At 40.5% G+C, this 22,220-nt stretch overlaps 1 protein-coding gene and 1 long non-coding RNA gene across 8 annotated transcripts in view; one reads left to right on the top strand and one right to left on the bottom strand.

Moving 5' to 3' along the window:
* The window catches only part of PCGF5 (polycomb group ring finger 5), a 128,119-nt gene that overhangs the window by 84,566 nt on the left and 21,333 nt on the right, over positions 1-22,220 (bottom strand). The window lies entirely within an intron of this gene.
* LOC124902480 (uncharacterized) lies at positions 1,294-20,504 on the top strand. Its single transcript, XR_007062240.1, has 3 exons — positions 1,294-1,371; positions 11,353-11,443; positions 12,279-20,504. It is a non-coding gene; the product is annotated as an uncharacterized LOC124902480 (long non-coding RNA).

Below are 22,220 nucleotides of genomic sequence, written 5' to 3'. Positions count from 1 at the left end.
TCTGTCAAACAAGAGGGTTGCATAAAGGATTTTTATGGCCTCTTTGGACTCTAACATCCTAGGATTTCAATGAACTCAATCAAATTTCAGTATTAAACTAAAACTAGCCTTGAATGTTACTTCTTAACTAAAATACTGCATCATATTTTGGAGCCGTGGCTGAATTTCACGTACATTAATGTGGAAGATGCTGGGAAGCAGAGATCAGATCCCTCTTCAGAGAAGCCTTTGGGCTGCACTTGATGGGGATGTTGTTGGCCTCTTGCAGGCATGTCCTCAGCTGCAAAGATCCTCCTTGCCCAAGGTCACTTTCCCAAGGATGCAAGGACTGAGGGATGCTGGAGTATAAAGGCCTGGCCATCTTGGCCCAAGTCAAGACAACTCAGAGGAGTCATTCTAGTTCCAGAGCTCCTGCCATGCTGGCTCTACAGCTCAACTCCTTTTCTGCCCCCCTTGCTGCCTTCCCACCCTTCAAAGGGCATTCCCTAATAAACATCCTGGATACAAAACTACACCTGGGAGTCAGCTTCCCAGGGAACCCAACCTGTGACAAGTACATTTTCTACTTGTTTATTATGTCATAAAATTCACAGACTCTGGAACTTTGCTTGTGGAAGCAGGGATGATCCCTTGAATGCTGTAAGACCCAGAAAGTGGTAGAGACACAGAAGAAAAAACTAGGCTTTTAATAAAATGGGAGAGACAGATACAAACCAGCATGTATGTGATGCAGTTTCAGTTTCTGAACAAAAACAATAAATACATAAAAGGTCAGCATGGCCAGTGAAACTGAAAGCTAAGAACTCAGATGAGGCAATCACAGAGGGTGATGAAAGAGAAGAACATCTGAGAGAGGAGGAGAACAAGAATGGCCTGGCAAGAAAAGGAAGAAGACTAATACGAAACACACTCAGCCAAAGACCATGGGGTAGAAATAACCCATCTGAAGAAGGGCTCTTCATTGCACAAAACTACATCCAATCCTTAAGAGGTACTGCCCCGTGGTATGACAAGGCCAAAACGTCATCCTGGCAATTGCTGCTAATTAAACTCAGGATTGATTCAATGCTACTGAATAGGCCAGGGAGATTCCCATGGTGCTGCCACTAATCAGGGCCTTTACAGAAAACTCCCAAGAAGATCGAAGGACAGAGACAAGCTTGAACTCTGCAGCCCGTAGGCAGGTCTGCCTTCTAGAGAGAAAGCCAGTGATGCTGCTTTGCCAATGGTCATGCTGAAATAGTGGTTTGGGGTGACCTCCAGGAGAGTAGGGGTACTAGGGGTAGGTAAGGAGGGTGACTGAAATTTAAAACAAGGTGTCAGCAAAGGCATTAGTGAGAAGATGGCATCTGGGTAAAGACCACAAAACAGGTAAGGAAGTTGGTCTTATAGTTATCAAAAGGATGAGTGACTACACAGAGAGAAAGGAAAGTGTCCTAAGCAGGAACGATGCTGATGTCCAAGGTTCCCCCAGCAAGGGGGCCAGTGTGGTTGAGAATGAGCAGATGGGACTGAGGTCAGGGAGACAGGATGGGTCTCGCAGGCTCTTCTGGGCCACTGTAAGGACTGTGGGTTCAATTTAGAGAGACGGAAATCCAAGGAAACATAATTACATAAAATGACGTGATCTGACACTTCTCTTCCCCTTCTCTGGGTTTACTTTTCTCCACAGTATTTCTCATTGCCTGAAAAGTAAAAATGTTATATATTTATCTCTACCCATTAGAATGTAAGCTCTGTGAGGGCACGTATTTTTTGTCTGTTTTGTTCACTGATGTGGATTCACTTCCCCAATGTCTGGCACTTAGTAGATAATCAATATTTATTGAATGAATGAAACATCTTGAGAACCAGGAGAACTCTTTCCTAAATGGCAAAATGAATCCAGACAAAGAAAATCTTGTTTCTATTTCCTTGGAACGTCTGTTTTTAAATAAGTGTTTTTAAATAAGTTCACAATGGAAAAGGGCACAGGTAAAATATAATTGAAATTTAATATAACAAAATGAAAGTGTACTGAAAATAGGAAGGAAAAAGGGGAATATGGTGGGAGAGGATGATGTCCAGTACCGGTTGACAGAGGAGTCAGTAAAGAAACCCATTTTCCCTCTGGAAGCAAGGCTCCCACGCACTCTCTACCACCATTAGCCCTTTCCCCAGTAAATTCAAAAGTTCTTTGTGAGCTCATACCAGTCATTTAACTTTGGTGAGTCCCCATTGCTTCACTGTACAAAAGGGCTACCTTACAAATCCCACTCATCAGGGGTTAGATAATATAATACACGGAGAACACTTAGCACAATGCCCGGACCACAGGAAGCCCTCATCCTCAATAAACATCAGCAGTTGTGATAACACTGCCCGTGGAGATTTTATTTTCCAAAGATATACGTCTGTGCAGCCATCCTCAGAAAATAATACATCACGGAGCAGTCACATAGAGAGAGGGACGTGCCCGAGGAGCCCAGGAGTCTCAGACTAGACCCAGGACATGACAGTCAGCTCGCGAGCCTTCAGATGATTTCCCCATACTTCGAGCCTCCCCTGCTGATGCCAAGCGGAATGGAGACAGGCTACGCTGCTGACCAGACTCCAAATTCCTGACTCACAGAAACTGTGAGAGATAAATGATTACTGTTGTTTGAAATCGTTAAGTTTTGGAGTAGTTTGTCACTCAGCTTTAGACAACCAGGACATGCCATTAACTGGCTCACTTGTCCACGTCTAATATAAAAACCACATCATGTTTTTTTTGTTGTTGTTGTTTAAAAAGAGATTTGAATGGTTCCACATCATGCACAGGATAAAAAGAATCTGGAGGCTCCTTGACAGACTGTGAGACTTGAGGTGGGGATTATATCTCGTCCACCAGTGAATTCCCAGTACTTCAGCAGTTCCTCATCTAGTAAGTGATTTCACTGGCTGGGATGAAACCAGATGACAGGGAAAGAGTAAACAAAGAAGATGAATTATGATAACCAGGTATTCAACAAGTATAGACAAGGCTCCTTCCATGCAGTGCTGGGGATACTATTGTCAAGCTGCCCTCATAGAGTCTGTGAGGGGGACCAACAAGAAATACACAAATAGCATTTGTCACCCTCTGAAATACGGAAAAACACATCAGTGTAATGGAAAGGAGCTGGGCAAGTGTGGGTCAGAGGTGGGGGATGGGGTGGGATATTTTGTCAAGGTAGTAAGGAAACTTTCTCTGAAGATACAACATTTCTGCTGAAACCTGCATGACTGTGAAGCCATGGAAAGATCTGGGAGAATAAAGGAACAAGAAGGCTTAGCAAGTGCAAAAGCCCTGGGGTGAGAAGGGACATAAAGCTCTGCTTTGTGCTTCAATGATACTGTGGGGCTTGGGTGTTTCAATGTGCATGCACAGGTTTCTTGCTTAGAAAGTCTAATATATAAACATTTGAACTTTGTAAACTGAAATTAGGGTCTGATTATGGTTTATTGGCCAAAATTTTAGGAGATACTTTTGTAATTAGCACATTTCTGCATTGGACATCTTTGCCTCACATCACTTCTCTTGGCACTGACATTCTAGCCCTTGCTGACAGAATGTCACTTCAGCTGCACTGTCACATGTGCTTTCTACTCTGGGCCTTCTCTGCCACCATGTGAAATATCTGTAGGAAACCAGTGAGCCATTCTGACAAATGTGCAGTCCCATGATAGACTTAACACCCCATGGGGCAACACTTGACCAGTAGGGGATGCGAGAAAGTGGACAAATAATGAATACCACCCACCCCAATTTTATCTAGTAGCCAATTTTAAGGCACATTCTTGGAGGGTGTCCTGTGGGAACAGGTCCCAGTTGCCCACAATAGTGACCAAGTTGATGAACAAACCTTGGATTGGGTTTCCTTTGTTCCCTATTAACTCTTACCAGTCACAAATGCTGTTCTTTGGGATTATTCCTCAAAATAAACTAATTGCCCCTAAGCCCCTGTCTAGGCTCTGCTACTTTAAAGAACCAGTCTAAGATAGCATTTAAATTTCATTAAAAAAAATATGATTTAGGCCAGGCATGGTGGCTCATGCCTGTAATCCCAACACTGGGAGGCCAAAGCAGGAGGATTGCTTGAGCCCAGGAGTTCGAGACTAGCCTGGGTAACACAGTGAGAACCTCATCTCTACAAAAAAATTAAAAAATGAGGTGGAGGATTACTTGAGGCCAGGAGGCCAAGGCTGCAGTGAGCCGTGACTGCACCACTGCACTCCCGTCTGAGTGACAGAGACCCTGCGTCTCTCTCTCTCTCTCTCTCTCTATATATATATATATGCATGCATATATATATATGCATATATATACATATGATTTATATTCAATTATTTAAGAATATTATTAACCCTCTAAGGCAAGTGATCTTCTAGGAGTCTAGACAATGGATAGAAAGGATAACAATACTGGGCTTTTCCTGTCTAATTCCACCCTAAATTTTCTTTTAATATTTGACTTTTTTTTTTTTGAAGGAGGTGATAGCTAATGTTCAGAGGCACTTTTTTCAACGGTGTATGGTGGCATTTACTCCTTTAAATTCATAACCACAAACTTTAAGTGGGCCTTTAATGCTGCAGGCAATCTATGTGACCCTCTTCTACTAATCTCCCAATTTCCCGATGGACTATTTCTCATCTTTTCTCTCTCTTAAACCCTCAAACCACCTTCCCCATCCTCACTCTCAGCTGCTTCCTATTCCACTGAGAAAACTGAGTCATCAGAAGAGAACTCACACACACTCTCACCACATCTACTCCCCCTATACTGTCTGCTTTCACCATAGTGAATCACAAATGCCCCCACACATGGTCTGCATCTCATCTTTATTGCCCTACTTGAGGATAACACCCCAGAAACTCTTTTCTTTCCCTTATATCATCAACTTTTGGTCTCTGAGGGACAGCTCTCATTAGCACACAAACATATCCTTAATACTATCTTTTTTAAAAATGAGGACAATACAAGTTCTCTTGACCCCCACCTTGATCCTCTTCTCTTCTCTATCTCTACTTATGCTCTTGGTGATCTCATTCAGTCTGTGGCTTTAAACCATCTCTATGCTTTTGAATTCGAGACCTTTTTCTCCTCACCTCCAGACTCATATCCAACTGCTTACTCTGTGTATTCATTTTATATTGCTGTGATAACAAATTATGACAAACTTAGTGGCTGAAAACAACACAAATGTATTATCTTATAGCTCTGCAGGTCAGATATCCATCTCCCTGGGCAAAAATCAAGGGTTTGCAGGGTTGTGTTCCCTTCTTGAGGTTATAGGGGAGAATTTGTTTCCTTGCCATTTCCACCTTCTAGCAGCCACCCACATTCCTTGGCCAGTGGCCCCCTTCCTCCATCTTCAAATCCAGCAACCTTGCATCTCTCTGGCCATTCTCCCGTAGTCACCTCAGCCTCTGACCACCATGGGAAAGATACTCTACTTCTAAGGACTTCTGTGACTAGGTTGGGCCCACCAGATAATCTAGGATCATCTCTCCATCTCAAAGTTGTTATCTTAACCATCACATGTGCAATGTCCCTCTGGCTCCCTAAAGTGACACATTCACATTTTCTGGGGATTAGGATGAACATCTTTAGAGGCCATTATTCTGCCTACCACACTCTGCATCTTTAACTGGATGTTTAACAGACATGTCACACTCAGTATGTCCAAGCTGACCTCCAATTCTCCCTCCACCACAGATCTCTCCACCCAAAGTTTTCTGCATCTTGGTTGATAACAACTCCATTTTTCTAGCTATTCAGGCCTGAACCCAAGGAATCATCCTAAACTCCTCTCTCTCTTACATCCCAAATCTAAGTCACAAAGAAATGGACTTCGTCTTTAACACATATCTAGAATCTGATCACTTCTCAACATCTCCACTACTGCTGGTCTAAGCCATCATCCTCTCATATTAGGATTCCTGCTATCACTTCCTAATTGGTCTCCCTGCTTCTCCCCTTCCTCTTTACAGTCTACTAGAGTCTATTTTCTGAGCAGCCTTCAGCCAGTTTAAGCATGATCCTTTAAAAAATTACATCAAATTATATTGCTTCTGTGATCAAAATGCTGCAATGACTCCCTAGCTCACTTGGAACAAAAGCCAAAGCCCTTCATGGTCTCCACCCTCCATCCAGGGTGGAGGGCCTTTCCGACCCTATCTCCTACTCATCCCCCTGCTCTCTCCCCTCCAACTACCCCTCGCCACCCCTCAAACACGCAGGTGTACCTCCCCTTAGGACTTGGCTGTCACTGTTCTCTCTGTCTAGAACACATTCTTACTCCACTATCAGCTTAATGTCCCACCCCCCCATCCCTTTTAGTTTTCTATTGCTGCCATGACAAATTACCACTAATGAAGTAGCTTAAAAACAATACCCACTTAGCATCTCACAGTTGTGTAGGTTAGAAGTCTAAGTACAATTTGGCTGAGCTGGGTCCTCTACTTAGTCTCACAAGGCCAGAATCCAAGTGACAGCAGGGATGTATTCCTTTTGGAGGCTCTAGGGATGGATCTCCTTCCAAGCTCCTTTGGGTCTTTGGCTGGATTCAGTTTCTTGCAGCTGCAGGACTGATGCCCCATTTCATTGGAGGCCATTCTTTGCTCTTCAAGGCTACATGCCTTCCTTCTTGCGTTTGCCATGCACTCTCAGCATGGGTGGGTGGAGTCTCTCTCACATTTTGGATCATTCCAACTGTGGCCACAACTCTCCAACTCTAGCCAGTATAATTTCTTGACTTTCAAGGGCTTATTGATTAGATTGGGCCACCCAGATAATCCAGGTTAACCTCTATATTTTAATATTTGTAACCATAATTAGGTCTGGAAAGTCCCTTTTGCCATGTAATTTAACCTAAATATTTACAGGTCCCAAGGATTAGGGTATGGACTTTTAGGGGTCACTCTGCCTGCCACATCTCCTTTCCTGACCATGGTATTTATACTACAACCCAGCTCCCTTCTTCCTACCCACTTTTGATTTCTCCTTTCTGTGCTCTATTTTAAAATTTTTCCACCACTGCTCTTACCACCTTATAACAAACCATATAATAAATGTTTACTATGCCTGTTTTATTGTATGTCGTTTCCTGATAGAAAACAGACTCCATTAGATCAAGAATCATTGTTTTGTTTATTGATATTCCAAAGACTATCTGGTTGGTAAGCAATAGGTATTTCTTGAATAAATAAATGAACTTATCTTTCCATGGGGTTATTTTTACTTTCAACTGTTTGAAAATGCTAATTAGAATAAAGATTCTTAATTGACGATGAGCAAGATGGATAAATACCAAAGAATTGCTTTCTTAATATTTTCCCATGGCTGTGGTCAATAGCATCTGACTAGCTTAGTTCTTATTAATGAAGACTCACAGCAATGTATTTAATTATTGTTTTTATGAAAATAAGAATGCTTCATTTTTAGACTATTATCCAGGTATACGAGCAAAACACCTTGAGTTGTTGAGTTAATCTTGTCTCAAATGTATAGAAAAATAAACTAAAATAGTCATAAATGCTTTTTTAAAAAAATTCCACAAATGCCTCTGGGGTGGAAAACTGAACCATTTTTGTTTAAGGAAGTACTATCAGAAATGAGTGAGACTTGCTTAAGTTTAAGACTACTAATTGCCTTCAGCCAGTTTAAGGCTGGAAAGAGGATGACAAAACTATAAAGAAAAAAAATAATTTTGGAGCCAAAATCACATTAGAAATAAAATCCAAACTTTATAGAGGAGGAACCTGAGGCTCAGAGAGGGTAAATAACTTGTCTAATCTCACAGCTCACCAGTGATGTGATACTTTGGATAAAGATTACTACAGGAGAGAGAGTGAAAATTAAATTTCTGTTATTCCTTTAAGCATTTAAAATATTCACTTAATGAGCTGATTCTCTACTTCAAAGGGCTGGATCCAACATGAATGCTCACAGACAGTGAGACTTTGCCTACCAGCCTTGTACTTGTCCCAACTAGGTCAAAATGTCTCATTTTGGGTGGAGTGTTCTGGACAGGGGACAATCCCAAAGAAGCATGGCCAAAGATCTTGCAATCAGAGTGATTCTCAGAGGGCTACATAGGACATCACTGTACTGAGGACAAGCTTATGATAACACACACCAAGAAACCAAAAAGCTTATGGGGTAAAACACAATTGTGTCTGACTAGATTACCTACATGTTAGTAGGAAAAAGTGCAGTACTCCCTTCTTATCTGGGGTTTGCTTTCTGTGGTTTCAGTTACCCATGGTCAACTTCAGTCCAAAAATATTAAATGGAAAGTTCCAGAAATAAACAATTCATAAGTTTTAAATTGTGTGCCATCTGAGTAGTGTGATGATATCTCATGTGGTCCCTCTCTGTGGTGAATCATCCCTTTGTCCAGTGTACCCATGCTGTCTGTGCCACCATTCTTAGTCACTCAGTAGCCATCTCAGTTATCAGATTGACTGTTGCAGCATCACAGTGCTTGTGTTCAACTAACCCTTATTTTACTTAATGGCCCCAAAGCATAAGAGTAGTGATGCTTGCATATTGTTATACCAGTTCTATTTTATTAGTTGTTGTTGTTGTTAATCTTTTACTGTGCCTAATTTGTAAATTAAACTTTATCATATGTATGTATACACAGGAACAAAATATAACATACATAGGGTTCAGTATTATCCATGGTATCAGGCACCCACTAGGGGCCTTGGAATATGTTCCCTGTGGATCAGGGAGAACTACTGTAACTGTCAGCGTAAGGATTTTGACAAAACCTGTAAGTATTTATAGATCTGGACTCGTTGCCAGCAGAAAGGCAAAAATGAAGTGAAGCATATTTTAAGGGAAGAATAAATAAGATATATTTTGAATAGGGTTCTCACACAAACACAAAAGACAGCAGGAACTGATGTGAAATAGTTTCTAAATTTACCACATCACAACCTTCTGCTTTTTGAATACCTATAACAGGAATGAAAACCAGCACAATAATCCAGATCTACATTTAAAGCAACAGCTCATTTGTTTGGTATTTAAGACAATCTTTCATTCACTTTTGAGCACTTAGCATTAAGGGGAAAAAAATCAAGAAATTGGTTTATTTAGGCAACATCCAGAGAATGATTCAATGGGAGAGCATCAATGTTACACAGAAGGAGAAAATAAGTCTATTTCTGGAGCCACCAATCAACTTTCCTCACCATGGTTACAGGCTGTGTTTCATAACTTTCCAGAATCACAGATGATTCAAAATGACCTTGGTAATAATTTAGACCAAATCTCATGTTTTATACATGGGGAAACTAAAGCTTAGAGAGGTGGGGCAGATTATCTGACACCACAGACCTTTAGCGACACATCACAACCAGAACTCAAGTCTCCTCACTCCTAAGGAAAAATGTGAAATCACTTACTGCTGTGGTCTGAATGTTTGAATTCCCCCAAAATTCATATGTTGAAATCTTAACCCCCAAGGTGATGGGATTAAGAGGTCAGACCTTTGGAAGGTGACTGGATCATGAGAACATGATTGGGGTTAGTGCCCTTATAAAAGAGATGTCAGAAAGCCAGCGAGTCCCTTCCACTATGTGAGGTCACAGGGATCAGGTGCCACCTGGAAACCAGGAAGTGGGTCCTCACCAGAGACCAATCTGCCCATGCCTTGATGTTGGGTTTTCCAACCTTAAAAACAGTGAGAAATAAATTTCTATTGTATATAAACCATACAGTTTGTGGTGCTTTGTTGTAGCAGCACAAACAAACTAAGATATTAACCTCAGGAAAAAAGATACACTTTAATTTCTGTCTGGCTTTTATTGATTTGTAAACTATTTGAAATTGTTTCAGCAGTTAAAATCTCCGTATGTTTCCACATGGTTGAGGAAAACCTTTCAAAACTACATTTTTATACTCATAACTTCAGTGCAACTTGAAAATATAGACGTGTTCAATATGAAAATATTAATGTGCTCAATACTGGCTCAGATGCTTCTTAGGATTTTAACTGTTTCCCACCAGGCAAGAAGGCCTAAGCGAAAAAGAACAGATAAACCCCATGCATTGTGCAGGGCTCTATGAAGTGTGTTATCCTAGATATTTAATATTTATGTATATTCTTTGGTCTTTTTAACTTTCTTCCATTTTCATGTAGATATGTATGTATATATGGAAAGATCTTATCAGCTTGGATATTTGGTAAGGGTATATTAGAATAGAAATTAAAGCAATACAATTTTTATGTCATATATTACTAAGTAGAATTCATCTTGAACCTCAAACAGCAAGTGTAGATTCTCAATAATTTACAGAGAAATCTTATATTCATTTATCTAGCATATATTATTATGTGTGTCTACTATGTACCAGGCACCATGTTGTAAACTGGGATTTCAAAACATCACCTCCCTGCCTTTGCTGAGTGCACTGTCTAGTGGAGATAGGTATGAACAGACACCTTTCATGGCATGGAAAAATGGGGACAGAACACAGGGAGATGACCAAGAATCATGAGGGTCAAGAGAGGATGTCTGGAAAAAGGAGAAAATTATCAATCAGGGTTGTAAAAGAAGATTTTGCCAGGCAAAGAAGAGAAGGAATGTGTTTCAGATGGAGGCCATGGCCATTATGCAAAAGCACAGATGAGAAGTGGAATGTCTTAGTCAGCCCTGGCAGAATGCAAGACTCCACCTTCTCCACACCTGTATTCCTGCAGCCACATGCTAGCTAATCTTACTTTAAATCCATAATCACCTATCTCAGTAGACCTTAAATGCTGCCCAGCAATCACACTTCATTTCCCTTGTGCTATCTACTCTCCCTTTCTCCCAAACCACTCTGTATGCCTCTTTACCTTTCTCTTCAAGCCTCCAATATTTCTTTCCTGATGCTCCATCTCAGCTAAGGAATGAATAAACTGCTATCTAGGGAAATGACAAGTGACAAGGGTGGAAAAAAGGTTGGGTAGGTCAACAGGCTCCAAATGACACTCTGTAGATCTGGACTTTTTTCTCAGACAAGGAGCCAAAGACCTACTACCTCCATAACAGAGGACTCTGGCAGAAGATTCCTAAGGGGCAAGAGGGGAGGTAGTGAGGGTCAGTGAGGAAATGAACGTGAATGAGAATCCAAATGAAGGCGGTGGCCATGAAGTAGACAAGATAACATTAAGGAAATAAAATCAAAGTCTACTTTATAATAAAATAGTAGGTACATAAGGGAGAAGATTCCAATTTCTTAGCAGCAAAATTATATTTAATTTTAATCCACTGGTTTTAAAGTTTATTGTTCCTAAGAAATTGCAATTAGCATAATTTTAATATACATAAAATTGTATTTTCTGCTTCTAGGGTCTTCATTGTAATAATAATAAAACAACATTTGAACTGAACTAAAGCCTATGATTTTAGAGCCAATAGAATCATCCATCTGCTTTTCCAGGTACTGTCTGTCACCCCTTTCCTTGACCAGGAAAGGGAACTCCCTGACCCCTTGCGCTTCCCGAGTGAGGCAATGCCTAGCCCTGCTTCAGCTCGCGCATGGTGCGCTGCACCCACTGTCCTGCGCCCACTGTCTGGTACTCCCTAGTGAGATGAACCCAGTACCTCAGATGGAAATGCAGAAATCACCCGTCTTCTGCGTCACTCACACTGGGAGCTGTAGACCGGAGCTGTTCCTGTTCGGGGGAGTTAACGGGTGCAGCACACCAGCATGGCACATGTATACATATGTAACTAACCTGCACATTGTGCACATGTACCCTAAAACTTAAAAGTATAATAATAATTTAAAAAAATTAAAAGTTTAAAATAAAAAAAAAAAGAATCATCCATCTGCCATTAGCATGGAAAGAACTTAGGAATAACAACAGTTCTTTCATCAAGATGTCAAGTCACTTAGTTTTTAGGACAAGTAACTGTATAGAAAATACTCTAAGTTTTTTCTAAATAATTAGCAAAGGAAAAATAAATACTAGAATTCTGGCTACACAGACATTTTTCAGGTACATATATTTATAGGTAAACATATACACACAGATAGTAAGAAGTAAATATATAGACTTCTTTGAAGAAAACATGAAGCATTGAAGTTGTGTATATAATACACTTTCCCCATGATCTCTTACTGAAAGGATGCAGAAAACAGAAGGACCCCATGAATCAAGAGATACCAACTTTGCATTCATTTATCACTTCAAACCTCTTTCCTATATCAAGCGATAGCTGGGTTTTTGTTTTTGTTTTTTTTAATGAAAAGACTATTTGTTTTTCCTTAGGTGTGCTTCTCTGATAGCGACCTCTACCTCATCTCTGGGAATCTAGTAGTGAAGAGGAATCCCTTCTCTATGGACTGTATCCACAAAGCAGGTGCATTCACATCATAAAAGCTCAGTAAGGTGCCTGCCAGATCACTACAAAATCTGCACATGAAGATCTTTATCTATCACAGCAAAAGTGTGCAGAGCTTGTAACAGTGGTTCCCAAACCGATTTGCACATTAGTGTCAAATCTTATATATCTATCTTATATATCTATATATCATGCTGAGGCCCCATCCTAGAACAATTAAATCCGAATCACTATAGATAGGTCCCAGATACCAGTATTTTTTACAAGTCCTCAGATAATTCTAATATGAAACCAGGGTTGAGAACTACTAGCCTGAAGCTTCTCTAATGTGGTCTGCAGACCAGTTGCATCTCCTGGGAAACTCAGAAATGCAGAATCTCAGACCCCACCTGAGACTAACTAAACCAGAATCTGCAATGTAATACCATTCCCAGTATTTCTGTGCACATTCAAGTATGAGAATCACTGGCCTAGCGATTTTCACTGGTCTTGCATTGTGTGGGCAAGTTCTAAATGACACTCATAAGATGAAGCAAACCCTCACCTTGAAGATTACACTGATCCAGCAGTATAAATGTATATAAATGTAAAGCAATCCCCCAGAAACCAGCTGGGACAGCTCCCTATACGTGGAAAGAATGTTAGAGGCAAGTCCTATCAATATACGGAGCAGGGCATTGGCTTGAAGTGAAACAGTTACTAGTACATCCCTAGTTGAATCTAGGGAGGCCCGGGATGGAACTGGTGAAAGGTACAAAAGAAACTTTGTAACTTAACATTTTAAACATTTTAATTTGTTACATATATATGTGTGTATATATACACATATATATACACACACATATATATACACACACACACATATATATATATATATACACACACACACATATATATATGAAGTTTTTCCCTGAGGTCTAAAATATTTATTTCATCTACACAATAAACATTTCTTTCAAGTATACAAAATTTCTTTCATTGAAAGTTCAATGCAACAAGACTTCCAACCTTGTGAAATCATGCAGCTTTTATATTCCTTCATCTCTTGCTTGCTAATCACCTAAGAATTCTCGCCATAGACAACTAGTGAGCTATGAAAACTGCTGGTGATCCCAGTTGCAACCTGGCAATACTGCTACTGGTGAATGAACGCCTGGTACACCACAGCTGTGAGAGTCGGGGCAAAATCCAGGTGAGATCAAATAACTTGAGGGCAACCTGAGGGTACAGCTGATTTAGCCCAAGAGGTAATGTTAAAAGTAAAGAAATACCAAAATGATTTTAAGTTAAAATTTACTTGAACTTGAGCTCTAAAATTACTGCACAGGAAATTCAAGATGTCATCAATTTAACTACTGTCTGCAAAACATAAAGAAATAAATATTGAAGCAGGGAGCGACCAAGATGGCTGACTAGAAGCAGCTAGGGTGCGTGGCTCTCAAAGACAGGAATGAAAGGGGCGAGTAAATACAGCACTTTCAATTGAAACATCCAGGTACCTGCATTGGGACTAATCAAGGAAACAACCTGACCCACAGAGAACAGAGAAAAGCAAGGCAAAATGATGGCCCACCAGGGAGCCACACGGAGTCAAGGGAATCTCCCCTGCCCAGGGAAGCAGGGAGTGAATGTGTGACCCAAGGAAACCACACTTGCCCCACCAATCTTTGCAACTCCCGGGTCAGGAGAACCCTTCATGAAACCACTCCACTAGGGCCTTCAGTCCGACACACAGAACTATGTGGAGTCTTGGCAGAGCAGCCACTCAGGCATACACAGAAACCCAGGAGCTTTACATAATCCAGCTCTGGGCTTCCTGGCAAAAGTAACTACAACTCAGGCAAAGAGGGAGGTTAGACCTCCATACATACCCCTAGGAAAGAGGTTGAATCCATGGGGCTCAGCAGTGATGGTCAGCGGGCCTCACTTCCACGGCACCTCACAGGATGACACACTGGCTTGGAATTCCAGCCAGGCACGGACAACAGTGTTGCATGGAGCTGTGACACAGTTCCTGGGGGAAGGGGTGGCTGCCATCTTTCCTGTTCCAGCCTGTGGGCTTTGGAGAGTCCAAACCCACGGGGGCAGAAGGGATCCCCCAGCACAGCACAGCTGCTCTACCAAAACATGGCCAGACTGCTTCTTTAAGTGAATCCCGGATCCATTCCTCCTCACTGGGTGGGACCTCCCAACCCAGGCCTCCAGCCACCCCACTGGTGTTTTCTGGCTGACAGAGATTTAAGAACCTCCTGGGAGAGAGTTCCCAGAAGGAGGGGTGGGCCACCATCTTTGCTGTCTGGGTGACTTAGCTGTTCCAGCTTCATGCTTGGAGAGCCCAAGCCAACTGGGGGCAGAGGGGGTACCCCTAGCACAGTACAGCTGTTCTAAAAAATGTGGCCAAACTGCTTCTGTAAGCAGGTCCCCTGTGTTGTTCCTCCTGACTGGGTGAGACCTCACAACTGGGGTCTCCAGCTACCTCCTACCGCTGCATTCAGGCTGGCAACAGGTCCATAACTCCCTGGGATGGGACTCCCACAGGAAGGGGTACACTGCCATCTTTGTTGCTTTGTAGCCTTCACTGGTGATACCTCCAGATACTGAAAAATCCAAGGCCACTAGGGACTGGAGCAGACCCCTAGCAAACCATAGCAGCACTACAGAAAAGTAGCCAGATTTTAAAAATAGGAAAAAAAAAACAAAACAGCAACCTCAAATACTGAAGGTAGATAAGCCCACAAAGATGAGAAAGAATCAACACAAGAACACTGAAAACTCAAAAAGCCAGAGTGCCCTCTTTCCTCCAAATGACTGTATCACCTCTCCAGCAAGTGTTCAGAACTGGGCTGAGGACAACATGGCTGAAATGACAGAAGTAGAATTCAGAATATGGATAAAACCAAACTTTCTGAGCTAAAGGAGTACATTATAACCCAAGCAAGGAAGCTAAAAATCACGCTAAAACATTGCAGGAGCTGACAGACAAAACAGCCAGTAGAGAGTACTGTAACCAACCTGACAGAGACAAAAAACACACTACAAGGATTTCATAACGGAATAAAAAGTATTAATATCAGAATAGACCACGTAGAGGAATCTCAGAGCTTAAAGACTGTGTTTCTGAAATAAGACAGGCAGAGAAGAATAGAGAAAAAAAGAATGAAAAGAAATGAACAAAACCTCCAAGAAATATGGGATTATGTAGAGACTGAATCTACCACTGACTGGTATACCTGAAAGAGATGAGGAGAATGGAACCAATTTGGAAAACATATTTTAGGATATCATCCATGAGAATGTACCCAACCTAGCTAGACAGGCCAACCTTCAAATTCAGGAAATGCAGAGAACCCCAGTAAGATACTCCATGAGAAGAACATCCCCAAGACACATAATCATCAGATTATCCAAGGTCGAAACGAAGAAAAAATATTAAAGACAGTGAGAAAGAAAGGCCAGGTCACTTTCAAAGGGAAGACAATCAGACTAATAATGGACCTCTCAGCAGAAACCCTACAAGCCAGAAGAGATTGGGGGCCAATATTCAACATTCTTAAAGAAAAGAAATTCCAACCCAGAATTTCATATCCAGCCAAACTAAGCTTCAAGCAAAGGAGAAATAGATTCTTTCAGACAAGCAAATGCTAAGGGAATTCATTACCACCAGACCTGCCTTACAAGACTCCTGAAGGACACACTACATATGGCAAAGAAGGACTATTACCAGCCACTACAGAAACACACTGAAGTACACAGACCAGTGACACTATACGGGAACTACATAAACATGTCTGCAAAATAATCAGCTAACATCATGATGACAGGATCAGATCCTCACATATCAATACTAACCTTAAATGCAAATGGGCTAAATGCCCCAATTAAAAGACACAGAATGGCAAGCTGGAGAAAGAGTCAAAATTCATCGATGTGCTATATTCAAGAGACCTACCTCACATGGAGAGACACACATAGACTCAAAATAAAAGGATGGAGGAAAAAAAAAAAGCAGAGGTTGCAATCTCAATTTCTGCCAAAACAGACTTTAAAACAACAAAGATTAAAAAAGACAAAGGGCATTACATAATGGTAAAGGGTTCAATTCAACAAGATCTAACTATTCTAAATATATATATACCCAACACAGGAACACCCAGATTCATAAAGCAAGTTCTTAGAGACCCTAATAGAAACTTAAGACTCCCACACAATAATAGTGGGAGACTTTAACACCCCACTGACAATATTAGATCATTGAGACAGAAAATTAACAAAGATACTCAGGACCTGAACTCAGCACTGGATCAAATATATACACAACACTGGATCACAGAATATACATTCTTCTCATTGCCACAAAACATGTACTCTTAAAATTGATCATATAATCGGAAGTAAAACACTCTTCAGCAAAAGCAAAAGAACTGAAATAGTAACAAACAGTCTCTTGGACCACAGCACAATCAAATTAGAACTCAAGACTAAGAAATTCACTCAAAACCATACAATTGCATGGAAATTGAATAACCTGCTCCTGAATTACTTTGGAGTAAATAATGAAATTAAGTCAGAAATCAAGAAGTTACTTGAAACTAATGACAGCAAAGATACAATGTACCAGAATCTCAAATAATGAAATTAAGGCAGAAATCAAGTTCTTTGAAACTAATGAAAGCAAAGATACAATGTAACAGAGTCTCCAGGACACTGCTAAGGCAGTGTTAAGAGGGAAATTTATAGCACTAAATGCCCATATCAAAAAGTTAGAAAGATCTCAGGTTAACAACTTAACATCACAACTAAAAGAACTGGAGAACCAAGAGGGAACAAATCCCAAAGCTAGAAGACAAGAAATAACAAAAATCAGAGCTGAACTAAAGGAGATCGTGACATGAAAAACCATTGAAAAGATCAATGAATCCAGGAGCTTGCTTTTGAAAAAAATAATAAAATATATAGACAACTAGCTAAACTAATAAAGAAGATTCAAACAAACACAATCAGAAATGATAAGGAGGGCACTACCACTGACCTCACAGAAATACAAACAACCATCAGAGAATATTATAAACACCTCTATGCTTATAAACTAAAAAATCTAGAAGAAATTGATAAATTCCTGGACCCATACACCCTCCGAAGACTGAACCAGGAAGAAACTGAATCCCTGAACAAACCAATAACGAGTTCTGAAATTGTACAAAGAAGAGCTGCGACCATTCCTACGGGAACTATTCCAAAAAATTGAAAAGGTCAAACAAACACAATCAGAAATGATAAGGGGGACATTACCGCTGACCTCACAGAAATACAAACAACCATCAGCGAATATTATAAACACCTTTATGCTTATAAACTAGAAAATCTAGAAAAAATTGATAAATTTCTGGACACATACACCCTCCAAAGACTGAACTAGGAAGAAACTGAATTCCTGAACAGACCAATAATGAGTTCTGAAATTGTACAAAGAAGAGCTGCTACCATTCCTACTGGAAATATTCCAAAAAACTGAAAAGGAGAGACTCCTCCCTAATTCATTCTATGAGGCCAGCATCATTCTGCTACCAAAACCCAGCAGAAATACAACAGAAAAGGAATTCAGGCCAGTATCCCTGATGAACATTGATGCAAAAATCCTCAACAAAATATTGGCAAACCAAATCCAGCAGCACATCAGAAAGCTTATCTGCCACCATCAAGTGGTCTTCATCCCCGGGATGCAAGGTTGGTTCAACATACACAAATCAGTAAGTGTAATTTATCACATAAACAGAACTAAACACAAACTAAAGACAAAAACCACAATTAACTCAATAGATGCAGAAAAGGCTTTCAATAAAATTCAACATCCATTCATGTTTAAAACTCTCCATAAACTAGGTATTGAAGGAACATACCTCAAAATAATAATAAAAGTGATATATGACAAACCCACAGCCAACATCATACTGAATGAGCAAAAGATGGAAGCATTCCCCTTGAAAACTGGCACAAGACAAGGATGCCCTGTCTGGCTACTCCTATTCAACATAGTATTCAAAGTTCCGGCCAGGGCAATTAGACAACCGAAAGAAATAAAGTGCATTCAAATAGGAAAAGAGGAAGTCAAACTATCCCTGTTTTTAGATGACAGGATCCTATATCTAGAAAACCCCATTGTTTCAGCCCCAAAGCTTCTCAAGCTGACAAATAACTTCAGCAAACCTCAGAATACAAAATCAATATGCAAAAATCACTAGCCTAAAATCAAATTCCTATATACCAACAAGGGTCAGGCCAAGAGCCAAATCACAAATGAACTCCCATGCACAATTGCCATAAAAATAATAAAATAGCTAAAAATACAGCTAACTAGGGAGGTGAAAGATCTCTACAAGGAGAACAACAAACCACTGCTTAAAAAAATCAGAGATGACACAAATTGAAAAACATTCCATGCTCATAGATAGGAAGAATCAATATTGTGAAAATGGCCATACTGCCCAAAGCAATTTATAGATTCAATGCTATTTCTATTAAACTACCATTGACATTCTTCACAGAACTAGAAGAAACTATTTTAAAATTCACATGGAACCAAAAAAGAGCCTGAATAGCCAAGGCAATCCTAAGCAAAAAGAACAAAGCTGGAGGCATCATGCTACCCAACTTCAAACTATACTACAGGGCTACAGTAACCAAAACAGCATGGTACTGGTATAAGAACAGACACATAGACCAATGGAACATAATAGAGAACCCAGAAATAAGACCACACACCTACAACTATCCAATCTTTGACAAATCTGACAAAAATAAGCAATGGGGAAAGGATTCCCTATTCATAAATAGCATAAATAAATGGTGCTGTGATAACTGGCTAACCATATGCAGAAGATTGAAACTGGACCCCTTCCTTACACAATATACAAAAATTAACTCAAGATGGGTTAAAGGCTTAAATGTAAAACAAAAAAATATAAAAACCCTGGAAGACAACCTATCATTCAGGGCATAGGCATGGGCAAAGATTTCATAATGAAGACACCAAAATAACTGCAACAAAAGCAAAAGTTGACAAGTGGGATCTAATTAAACTAAAGAGCTTCTGTACAGCAAAAGAAACTACCAGCAGAATAAACAGACAACCTACAGAATGGGAGAAAATTTTTGCAACCTATGCATCTGACAAATGTCTAATATCCAGCATCTATAAGGAACTTAAATTTACAAGAAAAGAAACAAACCACTCCATTAAAAAGTGGGCAAAGAACATGAACAGACAAATTTCAAAAGAAGACATACATGCCGCCAATAATGTAATGAAAAAAAGCTCAACATCACTGATCATTAGAGAAATGTAAATCAAAACCACAATGAGATACCATCTCACACCAGTCAGAATGGCTATTATTAAAAAGTAAAAAAAAATAGGTGCTGGTGAGTTTGTGGAAAAAAAGAAATGTTATATATTATTGGTAGGGGTGTAAATTAGTTCAGCCACCATGGAAAACAGTATGGCGATTCCTCAAATACCTAAAGATAGAAATACCATTCGACCCAGCAATCCCATTACTGGGTATATACCCAAAGGAATATAAATAATTCTACAAAAAAGACACATGCATGCATATGTTTATCACAGCACTATTCACAGTAGCAAAGACATGGAATCAAACTAAATGCCCATCAATGACAGACTGGATAAACAAAAAGTGGTACATACACACCATGGAATACTATGCAGCCATAAGAAAGAACAAGATCATGTCCTTTGTGGGGACATGGTTGGAGCTGGAGGCCATTATCCTTAGCAAACTAACACAGGAACAGAATACCAAACGCCACATGTTGTCACTTTTAAGTGGGAGCTAAATGATGAGAACATATGGACACACAGAGGGAAACAACACACACTGGGTCCTTTTGGAGGGTGGAGGGTAGAAGTAGAGAGAGGATCAGGAGAAACAACTAATGGGTACTAGGCTTAATTCCTGGATGGTGAAATAATCTGTACAACAAACCCCACGACACAAGTTTACTGATGTAACAAACTTGCACTTGTACCCCTAAAGTTAAAATAAATTTTTAAAAGATTAATTTTTTTTTAAAAAAGAAACAAATATTGGCTCCCTGACAGCCACTCTGATTATTCATGGGTAATCTAACTCACCTCTCCCATGTCTCTCCCTTGCTTTCCTCCTATTCCTCTGACTTAAAAGAGACCACACTAGTTCAGATCTGAGGATAGAGAGTACATGACTTGAAACCAAAGTAATGAGAGAGGACAGGATGGGAATAATACAAAAGATGTTTAGGAAGCAAGCAAAGATGTTTAATCTACCTGGGCTAGAGGAATTAGCCCTAGCTCCTTATCAGAAGCAGCTAGCAAGCTTTTAAAAATTACTAATTCCCTAGGGCTTACCCAAAGTCAAGTAAGTCAGAATCTTGAGATAGGAGAGTCATTTGAATTTTCTAAAAGCTCCCCCAAAAGATGTTGAGATAGAGTGAGTGCTGAAATCAGTTGTAGAGGATGAATCTAACTTCCAAATAATAATGCTTCATGTATTACGTTGGTGCAAAAGTAATTGCAGTTTTTGCCATTGAAAGGAATGGCTCTGGACACAAGTAAATCATTTTCCAAACTACTCATCATCATTACATTTTTTTTTTTACTATTTTTAATCAAAGTAACCCATGAAAATTATGTTTAAACTCAAAGTGTACTACTACGTTTAAAATGAGAAACAGCAGGCCAGGTGCAGGGGCTCACACCTGTAATCCCAGCACTTTGGGAGGCCGAGGTGGGAGGACTGGCTGGCCCAGGGGTTTGAGACCAGCCTGGACAACATGGTGAAACCCTGTCTCTACAAAAATTTTAAAAATTAGCCGGGTGTGGTGAATTGCACTTGTGGTTCCAGCTACTTTGGAGGCTGTGATGGGGGTATTGCTTGAGCCTGGGAAGTCAAGGCTGCTGTGAGCTATAATCACACCACTGCACTCCAGCCTGGGCAACAGAGCAAGACCCTATCTCAAAAAAAAAAAAGAAAAGAAAAGAAAAGAAAGAGAAACAGCAATACCCTGCCTCACCTCTCCAGTCACTCCCAAAGGCAAACTACTTAAAATTTTAGCAATTTCTTCTGACATTTAATTGCATATTCTTAAATGTTTAAACTGCCGTCTTGATTTATTAATTTTAGACATTATTGATATAATTATGGCTGTCCTATTGTACACTAACTTATTTTTTTCCATCTCATAATACTGTACAGTTATGCCAATGTTTTTTCCCAGCCTACATTGCAGTCAGTTATGGCCAGGGTCAACATTTTGTCTGTGTCTTTTGGTACAGCTATACCAATCGTTATTAAAATACTTCCAGGGACAGTTCCAAGATGACTGAATAGGAACAGCTCCAGTCTACAGCTCCCAGTGTGAGCGACGCAGAATATGGATGATTTCTGCATTTCCAACTGAGGTACCGGGTTCATCTCACTGGGGATTGTTGGACAGTGGGTGCAGGTCAGTGGGTGCAGTGCACCGTGCACCAAGTGTGAGCTGAAGCAGGGAGAGGCATCGCCTCACCCAGGAAGCACAAGGGGTCAGGGAATTCCCTTCCCTAGCCAAGGAAAGGGGTGACAGACGGCACCTGGAAAATTGGGTCACTCCCACCCTAATACTGCACTTTTCCGACGGTCTTAGCAAATGGCGCACCAGGAGATTATATCCTGCACCTGGCTTGGAGGGTCCTACGCCTATGGAGCCTCGCTCATTGCTAGCACAGCAGTCTGAGATTGAACTGCAAGGCAGCAGTGAGGCTGGGGGACGGGCGCCCACCATTGCTGAGGCTTGAGTAGGTAAACAAAGCGGCCAGGAAGCTCGAACTGGGT

Source organism: Homo sapiens, chromosome 10 (genome assembly GCF_000001405.40).
Source record: "Homo sapiens chromosome 10, GRCh38.p14 Primary Assembly".
Taxonomy (NCBI): Eukaryota; Metazoa; Chordata; class Mammalia; order Primates; family Hominidae; genus Homo; species Homo sapiens.
Note: the sequence above shows the minus strand (reverse complement) of the source record. Positions and strands in the feature narration are given on the sequence as shown.